At 43.0% G+C, this 12,878-nt stretch overlaps 1 protein-coding gene across 5 annotated transcripts in view, besides 3 other annotated features; it reads right to left on the bottom strand.

Annotated features, from left to right (window-relative positions):
* CUL5 (cullin 5) overlaps positions 1 to 11,634 on the bottom strand; it is a 98,864-nt gene extending 87,230 nt beyond the window's left edge. For all 5 annotated transcript variants that reach the window (NM_003478.6, XM_017018363.3, XM_005271682.3 and 2 more), the window contains exon 1: positions 11,160 to 11,634. In NM_003478.6, coding sequence (NP_003469.2) covers positions 11,160 to 11,183 — 24 coding nt within the window. In that variant the 5' untranslated portion in view covers positions 11,184 to 11,634. The remainder of the gene's footprint in view (positions 1 to 11,159) is intronic.
* Positions 5,195 to 5,489: an enhancer, noted in NCBI's record as "tiled region #4319; K562 Activating DNase matched - State 5:Enh". NCBI's record gives its function as "activates a minimal TATA promoter and a strong SV40 promoter by Sharpr-MPRA in K562 cells {active_cell/tissue: K562}" and the evidence as "EXISTENCE:reporter gene assay evidence [ECO:0000049][PMID:27701403]".
* Positions 11,120 to 11,309: an enhancer, noted in NCBI's record as "active region_5479". NCBI's record gives its function as "activates an Ori minimal core promoter by ATAC-STARR-seq in GM12878 lymphoblastoid cells {active_cell/tissue: GM12878}" and the evidence as "EXISTENCE:reporter gene assay evidence [ECO:0000049][PMID:35858748]".
* Positions 11,410 to 11,509: an enhancer, noted in NCBI's record as "active region_5478". NCBI's record gives its function as "activates an Ori minimal core promoter by ATAC-STARR-seq in GM12878 lymphoblastoid cells {active_cell/tissue: GM12878}" and the evidence as "EXISTENCE:reporter gene assay evidence [ECO:0000049][PMID:35858748]".
* Positions 11,635 to 12,878: the final 1,244 nt, after the last annotated feature.

Here is a 12,878-nt window from a genome sequence, read left to right as displayed (position 1 = left end):
AAACACATTCAGCTGCACAAACATATTTACTTTCTTTATATCCTTATTCTATAAACTTTTCTATTAAAAAAAGGTTTTTTATTCTCAATCTTTTTCATTAAAAACTAAGACACACATACACACTAGCCTAGGCCTCCACAGGGTCAGGATCATCATCACTGTCTTCAACCTTCACATCTTGTCCCACTGGAAAGTCTTCGGGAACGCTAACCTGAATGGGGCTGTCATCTCCTATGGTAACAACGCCTTCTTCTGGAATGCCTCCTAAAGGACCTGACTGAGGCTATTTTACAGTTAACTTTTAAATTTATTAGAGGGTACACACACTAAAAACAAAAACAAGTATATAACAGTAAATGTACTGCTACAGTTTGGATGTTTGTCCACCAAGCCTCATGTTGAAATTTGATCCCCAATGTTGTAAGTGGGCCTAATGAAAAGTGTTGGGTCATGGTGGTGGATCCCTCATGTACAGATGAATGCCAGTGGGGGTGGGGGCAGGGTGGTGAGCAGTGAGTGAGTTCTCACTGTTAGTTCCCTGAGAGTTGGTTGTTAAAAAGAGCCTGGTACCTCTCCCCACTCTCTTGCTTCCTTTCTTGCCGTGTGATCTCTACACACACAGGATCCCTTTCACCTTCTGCCATGAGTAGAAGCAGGCTGAGGACCTCACCAGCCTACAGAACTGTGGGCCAAATAAACCTTTTCTTTATAAATTACCCAGTCTCAGGTATTCCTTTATAGCAACACAAATGGACTAAGATATACATAAACCAGTAACACAGTCACTTATTATTATTAGGATAATAATTTTATTATCCTATTATCCAAGGATTATGTACTGTATACAATTATATGTGCTAGACTTTTATAAGAGTGACAGCACAATAGTTTTATGTACACCAGCATCGCCACAGACACGAGTGATGTGTTATTGCACTACTACGTTACAAGGGCTACAATAAACATTGCCAGACAATAGGAATTTTTTAGCTCCCATTATAATCCTATAAGACCACCATTATATATGTGATCCGTTGTTGACCAAAACATCAATATGCAGTAAATGACTGTATATCCAATTAATGGCACTCTAATAACTTTACCAAAGGAACTCAGTTGTCGTATTTTAGATAATTCATGTGAATTATGAGGTTAGTTATTTGAATGTGTGGGTTCCCTTACTGTTTATGAAGCCACTATTGCTCCCAGTTATGTGATTTTAAAACCCCATTTGCCAATCCCCACTAACCAAAAGAATCAAACTACTGTACAGTTGTCCCTTGGTATCTGTGGGGAAATGATTCCAGGATCCACCCCACCCCACCCCCACCCCCACCCATCGGGATACCAAAACCCATACATGTTCAAGTCCTTGATAGAAAATGGCATAGCATTTGCTTATTACCCATGCACATCCTCCCATACACTTTAAACCATCTCTAAATTACTTACAATACCTACTATAATGTAAATGCTAACAGCTGCTATACTGTACTGTTTAGGGAATTATAAGAAAAAAAGGTCTGTACATATTCAATACAGACGCAATTTTTTTCTGAGGTTTTTTTGAGATCACTGCTATTTATAGATATAGAAACTGAGGCACAGAGATGTTAAGTAACTTGCCCAATACCACACAGCTAGCAAATGGCAGAACCTGGAGGCCAACCCAAGCAGTGTGGCTGCAGAGGCTGAGCTCATAACCATTGTTACATTGCAAGTACACTACTTGCATCTATAGGGGATTCATAAAATCTTTCTTATCTCAACAAAAGTGAGGTGGCTTAATAAAAATAAATGTGTGCGGGTGCCACATTAAGTGCATATATGTGATGTTTCTCTCTCTCTTTTTTTTTTAAGACACAGTCTCACTCCGTCACCCAGGCTGGAGTGCAATGGCGTGATCTCGGCTCCCTGCAACCTCTGCCTCGTGGGTTCAAGTGATTCTCCTGCCTCAGCCTCCTGCGTAGCTGGGACTACTGGCATGTGCCACCACACTCAGCTAATTTTTGTATTTTTTTTTTTTTAGTAGAGATGGGGTTTCACCATGTTGGCCAGGATGGTCTTGAACTCCTGACCTCACATGATCCGCCTGCCTCAGCCTCCCAAAGTGCTGGGATTATAGGCATGCGCCATCACCCCCAGCCTTTTCTGAGTATTTTTAATCTTTGGTTGGTTGAATCCACAGACATGGAACTCATGAATACTGAGGGCTGATTGTATATATTTGAATACCAGTAATTCTTACTACTGCAATTCTATGTTCCAGCCACAGCAACCTTTTAAAGGTGTTCCTCAAACAGGCCAAGCTCATCACTGCACCTCAAGACCTTTGCCTTAGAATGCAGATCATTCAGGTCTCAGCTCCAATGCCACCTCAGGCCTCCCAAACCAACCTAAGAAAAATGCCCTTCCTCCATTCCTCTCTGCACATCCAGAGACAAAGTCTTGAGATGGTACAAGAGACACTCTGATTGGCTATGAGACTGAAATTTTAATTTGGAATAACCAGACTTTTAAGAAAAGCCCAGGAAAGCTATAGGATCTGGCTGAAATGTCAACATGAGGAAGAAAAAGAACATTCAACAAAAAATAGTCAAAAGCAGTTTTTTGGGGAAAAATTATTTTCTGTTGTAAATAAGTGAGTAAAATAGTGGCTCCACCTTCCGAACACTTTTTTTTTTTGAGACAGGGTCTCACTCTGTCGTCCAGGCTAGAGTGCAGCAGCATAAACATTGCTCACTGCAGCCTTGATCTGTGCTCAAGCAATCCTCCTGCCTCAGCCTCCCATGTAGCTGAGATTACAGGCATGCACTAACATGCCTGGATAATTATTAAATTTTTTGTAGAGATGAGGTCTTACTATGTTGCCCAGACTGGTCTTGAACTCCTGGGCTCAAGCGATCTTCCCACCTGGGCTTCTCAAAGTGCTGCAATTACAGGCGTGAGCCTCCGCATCCGGCCTTGAACATTCTTATCACGTTGTTTTCGCTACCGCCCTAATTACCAGTAAAAACTATGCAAGTGTATTCTTTATGTCTTTAGTGTCAGTATTCATCCATCAGGATATAAGCCCCAAAGTCTAAGAACTTTGTCATATTCACTATTGTATCACTGATACTTTTTTTTTTTTTTTTTTTTTGAGACAGGGTCTTGCTTTGTCGCCCAGTCTGGAGTGCAGTGGTGCGATCTCAATTCACTGCAGCCTCAACCTCCTGGGCTCAAGCAAGCCTCCCAACTCAGCTTCCTGAGTAGCTAGAACTAAAACCGTACACCACCACCCCCAGGTATTTATTTTTTATTTTTTGTAGAGACGAGTTTCACCATGCTGTTCAGGGTGGGCTAAAATTCCTGGGCTCAGGTAATCCACCCACCTCAATCTCCCAAAGTGCTTGGATTACAGGTGTGAGCCACTGTGCCCAGCCTGAAATTTAAAATGGTATCCAGTACAGCATAAATGCTCAGATTTTTATGGAATGAACAAACCACAGCTACACAGATCAATTACCTTTGATATTATTTGTATGTACTCCATGGATTTGACCAATGTTTTCTAATTTTTATTTTTGTAGAGGTGGTAGGTCTTGCTATGCTGCCCAATCTAGTCTCCAACTCCTGGCCTCAAATGATCCTCCTGCCTCTGCTTTCCAAAGTGTTGGGCATGAGCCACTGCATCCAGCCTCTGACCAAAGTTTTAACCTGAGCTGTATCCTGCTTTTTGTTTGTTTTTTTTTGTTTGTTTTTGTACAAATGGGGTTGCCCAGGCTGGTATCAAACTCCTGGCCTCAAGCAATACTCTCACCTTGGCCTCCCAAATCACTGGGATTACAGGTGTGAGTTACTGCACCCAGCCCTGCTTTCCTTACAGAGCATATGAGGCATCTATTTCCTCCACCTACTAACCAAGGCAGGAGGCAAATGGCTCTTACTGACAACTGGGTTCACCAGGACACTAAGCAAAATATTTATTAAGAGAAACCTCAAGTAGGGGTGGTAGCTCACGCCAGTAATCCCAGCACTTTGGAAGGACAGGGCAGATTGCTTGAGCCCAGGAATTCCAGACTAGCCTGGACAACATGGCAAAACCCTGTCTCTAAACATTTTTTTAAATGAGCTGGGAATGCTGGTGTTGCACCTGTGGGAGGATGAGGTGGGAGGATTACCTGAGCCTGAGGAGGTCAAGGCTGTAGGGAGCTGTGACTGCGCCACTGTACTCCAGACTGGGGGACAGAGTGAGACCCTGTCTCAACAGAAAAGAAAAGAGAAGAGAAGAGAAGACGAGAAGAGAAGAGAAGAGAAAAGAAAAACCTCTCTGGCTGACTAGCTCTTTTGCTCATTCCTGTAATCCCAGCACTTTGGGAGGCCTACGCAGGAAGATCACTGGAGCTCAGGAGTGGAGACCAGTCTGGGCAATATGGTGAGATCCCATCTCTATAAAAAATTAGCCAGACCTAGGGTGGTATGTGCCTGTAGTCTCAGCCACTCAGGAGGCTAAAGTGGGAGGATCGCTTGATCCTGGGAGATCAAGACTGCAGTGAGCCATGATCATGCCACTGCACTGCAGCTTGTGTGAGAGTGAGACCTCCTCTCAAAACAAACAAAAACAAAAACAAAACCTCTCTTTTTACTAGAAAGATGCCTAGTATCCTCTTTCTACCTTCCAGCAGTCTAAAATTCCCCTCCTCTAATCTACTGAAAAATGACTGATCAAAATTTACCCTGAGCTGCCACTTCCTTTTAGAAGTTTTAATTAACATACATCACCTCCAGATTATGGTAATTGTTCAATCATTTATTTTCATAGAACATGAAAGATTCTACCATTTACATGTATCACAAAGTTTTACAGTTACTGATTAGTCCACTATTCCCTCTCCCATTCCTACCCATGACCAACACAGACACCCTTGAAATTTGTTTCCTCCCTAGGCTGTGTCGAATGCAACCATCTCTCTAGGACAGTACACTGAAGGAGGGGAAGGCCGCTCTAAGGCCCATGTCCCTCTTAGATATACGTTTCAAGAGGGCAATTTCTATCAACCCAATGAAAAATTGACAAGTTCTTAATAAGGTTCTCATTTATGTTTAACTAGACATATTAAAAAGAATTCTCTGGTTATGCACCTTAACCACATTCACCGATGATATTCAAATCTTCGTATCACATCCATATTCCTTGCCAAGCATGATCCTGACTCTGTGCTTTCACACTGGCTGTTCCCTCTACAAGGAACTCTTCTAAATATGTACATGACTTGCTCCCTTGCTTCATTCTGGTTTTACCTCAACTATTATCTCCTCAGAGGCATTCCCTCACTATCTTATCAAAAATAAGCCAGCTGTGATGGCTCATGCCTGTAATCCCAGCACTTTGGGAGGCTGAGGTGGGAGGATCACTTAAGGTCAGGAGTTCAACACTAGCCTGGCCAACATGGTGAAACCCCATCTCTACTAAAAATGCAAAAATCAGCCGAGCATGGTGGTGGTCACCGGTAATCCCAACTACTCGGGAGGCTGAGGAAGGAGAATTGCTTGAACCCAGGAGGTGGAGGTTGCAGTGAGCCAAGATCGTGCCACTGCACTCCAGCCTGGGCAAGAGAGTGAGACCCCGTCTCAAAAATAAAAATAAAAATAATAATAATAATAAGAGCACCGAGCACTCTCTCTTTTACCCTGGTTGTTTTTATTCATAGTACCTATCACAACTTGACTTACAGTATGTATTTCACTGTTTATGTTTATTGTCTCTCTTCCCAACAAAAATGTAAATTATACAAGGGCAGGAGCTGTCTGCCTAGTTCATCATTATCTAGTTAGAATTAGGAAATACTAAATTCTCGTTCAATGAATAAATGTATTTCCCATAGACTTAATTACTCCTGCTATGGTTACGGTTTCAATGAACAAGATGTCACTGGCACAAATGCCCCTCATCCATGGCCAATCTCACAAGCAGATTATAAATATACAGAAAATATAATAACTTTTATTTATGTGTAAAAGCCAAAAATAGATTGAGGGCTTGAGAGTATCTCTGCCCACATATTTTTCAAATATTCCTCAGTAACTATAGAACTTTATTTCAAACCCCTTGCCTAGCACTGAAGGCCCTTTGTAATCTGACCCGACTTCCCTTTCACTCCTATCCCTCTTGTTGTTTCCCTGTATTCTGGGTTTCTATGCTGCAACAATCCCAAGGAACACTATTCATATAGAATATCTAACACAGCATGCAGCCCTGCTTACACTGCAGCCACACTGATCTAGCCTAGATTCCTACCAAATTTTCTCCTAATTACCAATACAAAAAGCTTACCCATTATTCAAAATCCAGCTCCAACACTTTATTCAAAATCCAGCTCCAACACTTTCTCCATAAAATTTTCACTGATCATCCCACCAGAAATTATTTCCTCAATCTGTGAGGGAGCATAGAGCAGTTGGTAACACATCTGAAACTTTTGCCTTATCATAAATCATTAGTACCTTTTACTCTCCTTTAGCATATGGTAAATTCCCAAAGAGCATGGACATTGTTCTACATATCTTTGCATTCTCCATGGTACCTTGCATATGGATGTCAATAAAGTTATTTTAATAATGAATAACTTTTACAGGCACTTTTTATTGTTGTTGTTTTATAGAGACAGGGTCTTGCTACATTGCCCAGGTCGGCCTCAGGTAATCCTCTCACCTCATCCTCCCAAAGTGCTGGGATTACAGGCATGAGCCACCATGCCCGGCCTCTATAGACACTCTGAATCACTGCTTTACATTTCCATTTTCTTTCCTCTTAAAGGATAAAAAAAAGTCCACTGAGAAAAGTAGTATGAATCATATTTCAGTTTAAAGTTTGATTTATCTTGTGGTTCGGTTATATACTACTGCCTTCTTGTGCCTCCATCTCACTAGATCCAATCAGAAGGAGAGAGAATGAAAGTTAAGAGTTAGTTATTAGGGAGATGACGACCTCTGGCATGCTAGTGAGCCAACAAGTAACCAGCTAAGTAGGAGTGTGTACGCACACATGTATGAGAGAGAGAGACAAGAGACAGAGAGAGAGAATACTAGTTATCAGGAGAAGACCCAGCTGGAAAGATCTCAAATAATTTGAATCATCAAAGGTATCTGAACAGGAAAGTGATATGGTGAGAACTGCATTTTGATCTAGAGCTCAGATCAGAGCTAAGAGATAAAAATAGTGAAATCATGGGAGTTAAGACTGTCCCAGAAAAAAATATACAAAGATAGAAAAGGGCTGAAGATAAAATCCTGAGAAATAATTCTATTGGGGACAGGGGAGGGAAGTCAGTGAAAAACAAACGTGATTTGAGAGAGAGAAGACCAAGGAGGGAATGTCATAAAAACCAAAAGAGAAGCAGAGGAAATGAGCAATAATACCAGAAAAGAGGATAAATATTATCAGAGAAGAATCTCATTTGATAATCAGGAGGTTGCTAATACTTTTATGACTGACAGGTTCTATACAATTGGGTGGGAGAGAAGAGTAAGCCATATCATTAAGTTAAAGGGCAAAGAATTATAAAGGCAGCAAATGGGGGCTGCTTTTCCAAGAACTGTGACAGTGAGAAACAGAAGTTTGAGGCAGAGGCAGAGTACAAGTTTGTATGAGGAGGCAGAGTGCAGTGGCTCACGCCTGTAATCCCAACACTTTGGGTGGCCGAGGTAGGCGGATCGCTTGAGGTCAGGAGTTTGAGACCATCCTGGCCAATATGGTAAAATCCCGTCTCTACTAAAAATACAAAAATAAGCTGGGTGTGGTGGCGTGTGCCTGTAATCCCAGCTACTCAGGAGGTTGAGGCAGGAGAATTGCTTGAACCTGGGAGGCGGAGGTTGCAGTGAGTGGAGATCCACACCACTGCACTCCAGCCTGGGCAACAAGAGCGAAACTCCATCTCCAAAAAAAAGAAAAGTTTATATGACGCGACATATGAACTTTCTTATAGGCATAGGAGAAAAAAGGGAAACTGAAAAAAAAAAAAAAAAAGTAAGAGGGGACATACCACCAAGTCCTGGGGGGAAGATGAGGACTGAAAAAGAACAAGCAGAATGAGACAATTTGGGAGGTAGCATGGAACAGAGAAGAACATAGGAGAAACAAGAAAAATGTTTGGTATCGACCAAGGAAGTTAAGGGCACTTCAAATAGCTGGGTAAAGTAATGTACTAAGAATTAAGAGGGGTGAGGCTCAGCAAGAAAAGGTTTAAACAATTGCTGTTTGGGGTGGAACAATAAACTGGAAATGAAAAAAATGAGCACTAAGGGCCCAGATGATAATTGCAAAAGAAAAGGAACAATCACAATTACATGTTCAAAGTAATCTAAAACAGAAGATAAAATTATAATATCAGATCCCTACAAATGTTCTACAGACTCACTCTGTAAGGAAAAACAACAAAGATAAAGTAGTTACATGGAAAGGTTTTCAGAGATACAAAACCCCTAAGCAGTTAACTGTATATGTCAAAATGTGCTACACAAATCTTTACATAGCTGAAAGACTTCTAAGATCCAGCAATAGTCCACTTGCTTTAAACAGACAATAAAATTATTAGAGTCAAATTCCAATATTAAAAAAGAAAAGCAGCTAGACATGGTGGCTCACGCCTATAATCCCAGCACTTTGAGAGGTCGAGGAGGGTGGATCATGAGGTCAAGAGATGGAGACCATCCTAGCCAACATGGTGAAACCCTGTCTCTACTAAAAATACAAAAATTAGCTGGGCGTGGTGGCGTGCGCCTGTAGTCCCAGCTACTCGGGACGCTGAGGCAGAAGAATCGCTTGAACCCGGGAGGCGGAAGTTGCAGTGAACCAAGATCGCACCACTGAACTCCAGCCTGGCAACAGAGCGAGACTCCGTCCCCCTCCAAAAAAAAAAAAATTAAAAAGAAAGAAAAGCTGGTGGTTTTTTTTATGACATTGGCTTCTAACTTCTAAGTTACACATCAAGAAAGTTCACTAGAGTCACTGAGTCACTTACTTTTTTTCAAAATATTATCACCTTCCCTTTATTTGTAAATGTTCAAGTTAAAACACTTTTTAAATTCTTGTGAGCTTTTAAACCTAAACCCTAAGTACCCCGTTTTCTGTATATTCAGGCAGTTTTCCCATTCACAGGTCTGTGCTGTGGATGTAGATTCAGAATTTCCACAAGTACTTAACTAATATGAACCAAAGTAGCTTCCACAGGTAAGTACTTAACTAATATGAACCAAAATAGCTTCCACAGGTAAGTACTTAACTAATATAGACCAAAGTAGCTTCTCCTCCAAACAATCCTTTGTGAGGTTTTGTAAGTAGAACAGTGACTTACTCTTTTCTGAGAGTTATTTTTCGGGAGAAAAAGACCTTGCTTTATATCCAGGTAATCAACAAGTCAAAATTTTCCAGAATCACGGACAAAATTACTTCTTAAACACGTTTCAATTAATAGCATACTGTTTATGTAAACACACAGATGCATTAATAGGAGTCTTCAGAAATAAAACAAATTTTCTTTCCTTTTCTTTTTTCATTTAGAGTCTCACAGAGCAGTGGCGTGATCATAGTTAACTATAACCTCTAACTCAGAATTATCAATAGCACCTATATTGTAGGAACACTGTGAAGATTAAATTAATGTATCTAAAACAATCCTCCCACCTTGGCCTCTCAAAGAGCTGAGATTACAGGAGTGAGCCACTGTGCCCAGCCCACAAATTTTCTTTCTGAAGTAAAGCATGAGAAATTTGCTATACCATTATAAAAGAGAAAAGCAGAGTGGGATGGGTTACTCAATTCCCCGAATTAGTTTTCTTAAAGAAAGAGGGGGAGTAGTTATAGTAATTTATTGTATTATACTAATTAAGTGCCAGGCACTGTTTTAAGCATTATAGATATATTAACTAATTTAATCTTCACAATGTTCCTATGATACAGGCGCTACTGATAATGCTGTCCTACTCATAAGGAAACTTGCCCAAAGTCATACAGCTTTTAAGTGGTGGCTATTCAGGGAGTCTAATTCTAGGGCCCCTCTCCCTTTTAAAAGGTGATATACAGTACTGCCTCTTAGTAAAATTTGTTCTTCATTTTATGAGACAGTCCCATCTATTAGACAATCAAATATCAGTGGTCTAAAGAAGACATGATGGTTAGGTTCCTGTATATTTTCTATTATTTTCTAGTATTCATCCACATTGCCTGAAGGCATGAGAGGCCTCAGGAAGAAGTGGTTCATCCTTTGTATTAGGCTGGTGCAAAAGTGACTGCGGTTTTTGCCATTAATATTATGTTCCCTGAGCTATTCACTACCCCCATTTCTGTCCGTACTTTTAAGGCAAATGATTAACTACTACAGACACATACACAGAACAGACTAGTTCTAAGTCTTCCTCATTCTTCTCCAAACTTTTTAACTGGTGGAGAATCTGCCCCTGTGGGCCTAGATCTCCCTTGCTATATAAAACTAACTTTAAATACTGTCTTTGACAAGGTAACTTTCCTGCGCCCTAAAACGATGGTATCGCTTCATCAGTTGTCATCTGGTTGTGTCCTGTAACTGGGTGGGGGTTAGAAAGCAGTTTCCTAAGGAAAAAGATGAACTCAAGAATGGGAGAATTAGGAGGGAAGGTGTAACACGCAGAAAAGGGAGGAAGGGGGGTGGAGTGGGAGGCACTGCTGGTCTGACTCGGAATTTCGTGCAGACAGAACGAGAACAGAAATGGAAGAAGTGGGGGGTCGAGTCACTGAAACCTGTTAGGCAGCATTTTCTTGGTTTTTCCTTTGATGCGTCTTAGACATTGCTTTACAAGAAACTGAGACCTAACAGTACTAACGGCCCAGCTGGTCAGGACACCGCACGACCATTCATCTCCCGCTCCCGGCCAGAGCTGGTCCCTTGAAAGCATCGCTCCTCGCCAGCGCTCAGCCAGGCTTTTCTCCCAGCGGCCAGTCGGCGGGAGCGACCACCAGAGCCTGTCGACCCCAAGGCCACAGACCCGCGTTCCGGTACTCGCCGGCTGCCACCGCGGCTTCCCTGCCAGTGGACAACCCCTGAACACTCCCACACTTCGCAGCTGAACCTGAGCCGTGCCTTTCCCAAAGAGCCGAACCCGGCGGCCACACAGTAAAACCCAAGCTGGAGTGAGGGTCTTACCTTTAACAGATTAGACGTCGCCATGTTCTTTAACTTGGACTCTCGCGAGACGACGCGAGAATTCGTGGCGCTCCCGGCCAGGCCTTGACCGGAGGCCGGAGCTCCCACCAGGGCCCAGGGCCCGTCGGCCCGCACCAGGGTGTGGTGGGCGCTGGAGCAGCGCGCCGACAGCGCTGACCTCGTCCCAAGCACCAGGAGCTTCCTCACTCTTCTCCCCTACATGGTCACCGGAGCTTCCCCACGCGAAAGACCTCATGCACGCGCTCAGGAAGACCGGAACGGCGAATGCTGAGAAGGTAACGGGAGCCGACCTGACTTGGAAGAGGAAGCATCGACTCCACGAGCCTCCCCGACTCCTTCGGATTAGCCTTTGTGGTTGCACCCGCCGCGGCCACCTGCAACGAATTTAGCTCGGCTTAGGCCCCGCAGCTCAGGTTCCGCGGCCACGTCACGTGACGCGAGGGCGGGGACGCGCTCGGGAGCGAGCGTGGGAGCCTGGAAGCCTCGGTGGGTCCCGAGGCTGCAGCGAGGCCGGGACCGTGCCCTCTGCTGGCGGGACCTGGCGTTTTCCGGCACCCCGCCCCAAATCCCGGACTCGGTGTTAAGGGAGGTGCATTGTCCTGAAATGCTTACAACAGCTGTCTTCAATAACTCGTGCATAGAATGCGCCCAGTAAATATGTGTTGACTGCACAAGCGTGATGACTCTTAATATTTCTATTCAGGAATGCTTGGCACTTAGATAAAATATTGTTCAGTGCTTTGGGAGGCCGAAGGGGGAGGATCACTTGAGGCCAGTTCAACACCCTCGTCATTACAAAAAAGTTTGAAAAAAAAAAAAAAAGATTGTTTAGAGAATGAATATTAATCTTCGATTTTCTGAAGGCACATTATCCTAGAAGATCCTAAACCATAAGCCTCCGGGTTTTACCCCTTCAGACCACACACCACTGGCCAATGAGATAATATAATTTACATGTGGAACCTGCAGGATACCTGGTATTGTATTTTGCAGGTTTACAAACAGCCTTCATACGGCCATAATGCGTAGAAATAAGTAAGAGCTCTGGACTAAGAGAAGAGGGATGGGCCTACTTAAAGAATCCAATCAAGTAGTTAATACTTGTTTGAGCACTTGTATATACTAGGCACAGGAAATACAGGATTAAATAAAAGAGAAGACCCCTGCTCGTTTGGAGTTTATGGCCTAATAAGGTAGCCAAATGTTAAGGATGGCTACACAAGTCAAATATTACTTAGTGGGAGTTGTGATAAATATTGCAAAGAGGCCGGGCGCAGTGGCTCACGCCTATAATCCCTATAGGGCCCCGTGGCTCACGCCTATAATCGGCACTTTGGGAGGCCGAGACACCTGCGGTCAGGAGTCCGCGACCAGCCTGGCCAACATGGTGAACCCCTGTCTCTACTAAAAATACACAAATTAGCCGGGCATGGTGGCGGGCACCTGTAATCCCAGCTACTCGGGAGGCTGAAGCAGGAGAATCGCTTGAACCCTGAAGGTGGAGATTGCAGTGAGCCGAGATCGCGCTATTGCACTCCAGCCTGGACGACAGAGCGAGACTCTTGTCTCAAAAAAAAAACAAAAAAAACAAAAAAAAACTACAAACAAAAAAATACAGTGTGCACTTGAGAGCGTAGGAAGGGAAAGGAAACTAGTATCCTAATCTCCATCTACCCAAGCCACCCTTTGCTTATGCTT

The sequence above is a fragment of the Homo sapiens genome, chromosome 11 (genome assembly GCF_000001405.40).
Source record: "Homo sapiens chromosome 11, GRCh38.p14 Primary Assembly".
In the NCBI taxonomy this organism is placed as follows: Eukaryota; Metazoa; Chordata; class Mammalia; order Primates; family Hominidae; genus Homo; species Homo sapiens.
Note: the sequence above shows the minus strand (reverse complement) of the source record. Positions and strands in the feature narration are given on the sequence as shown.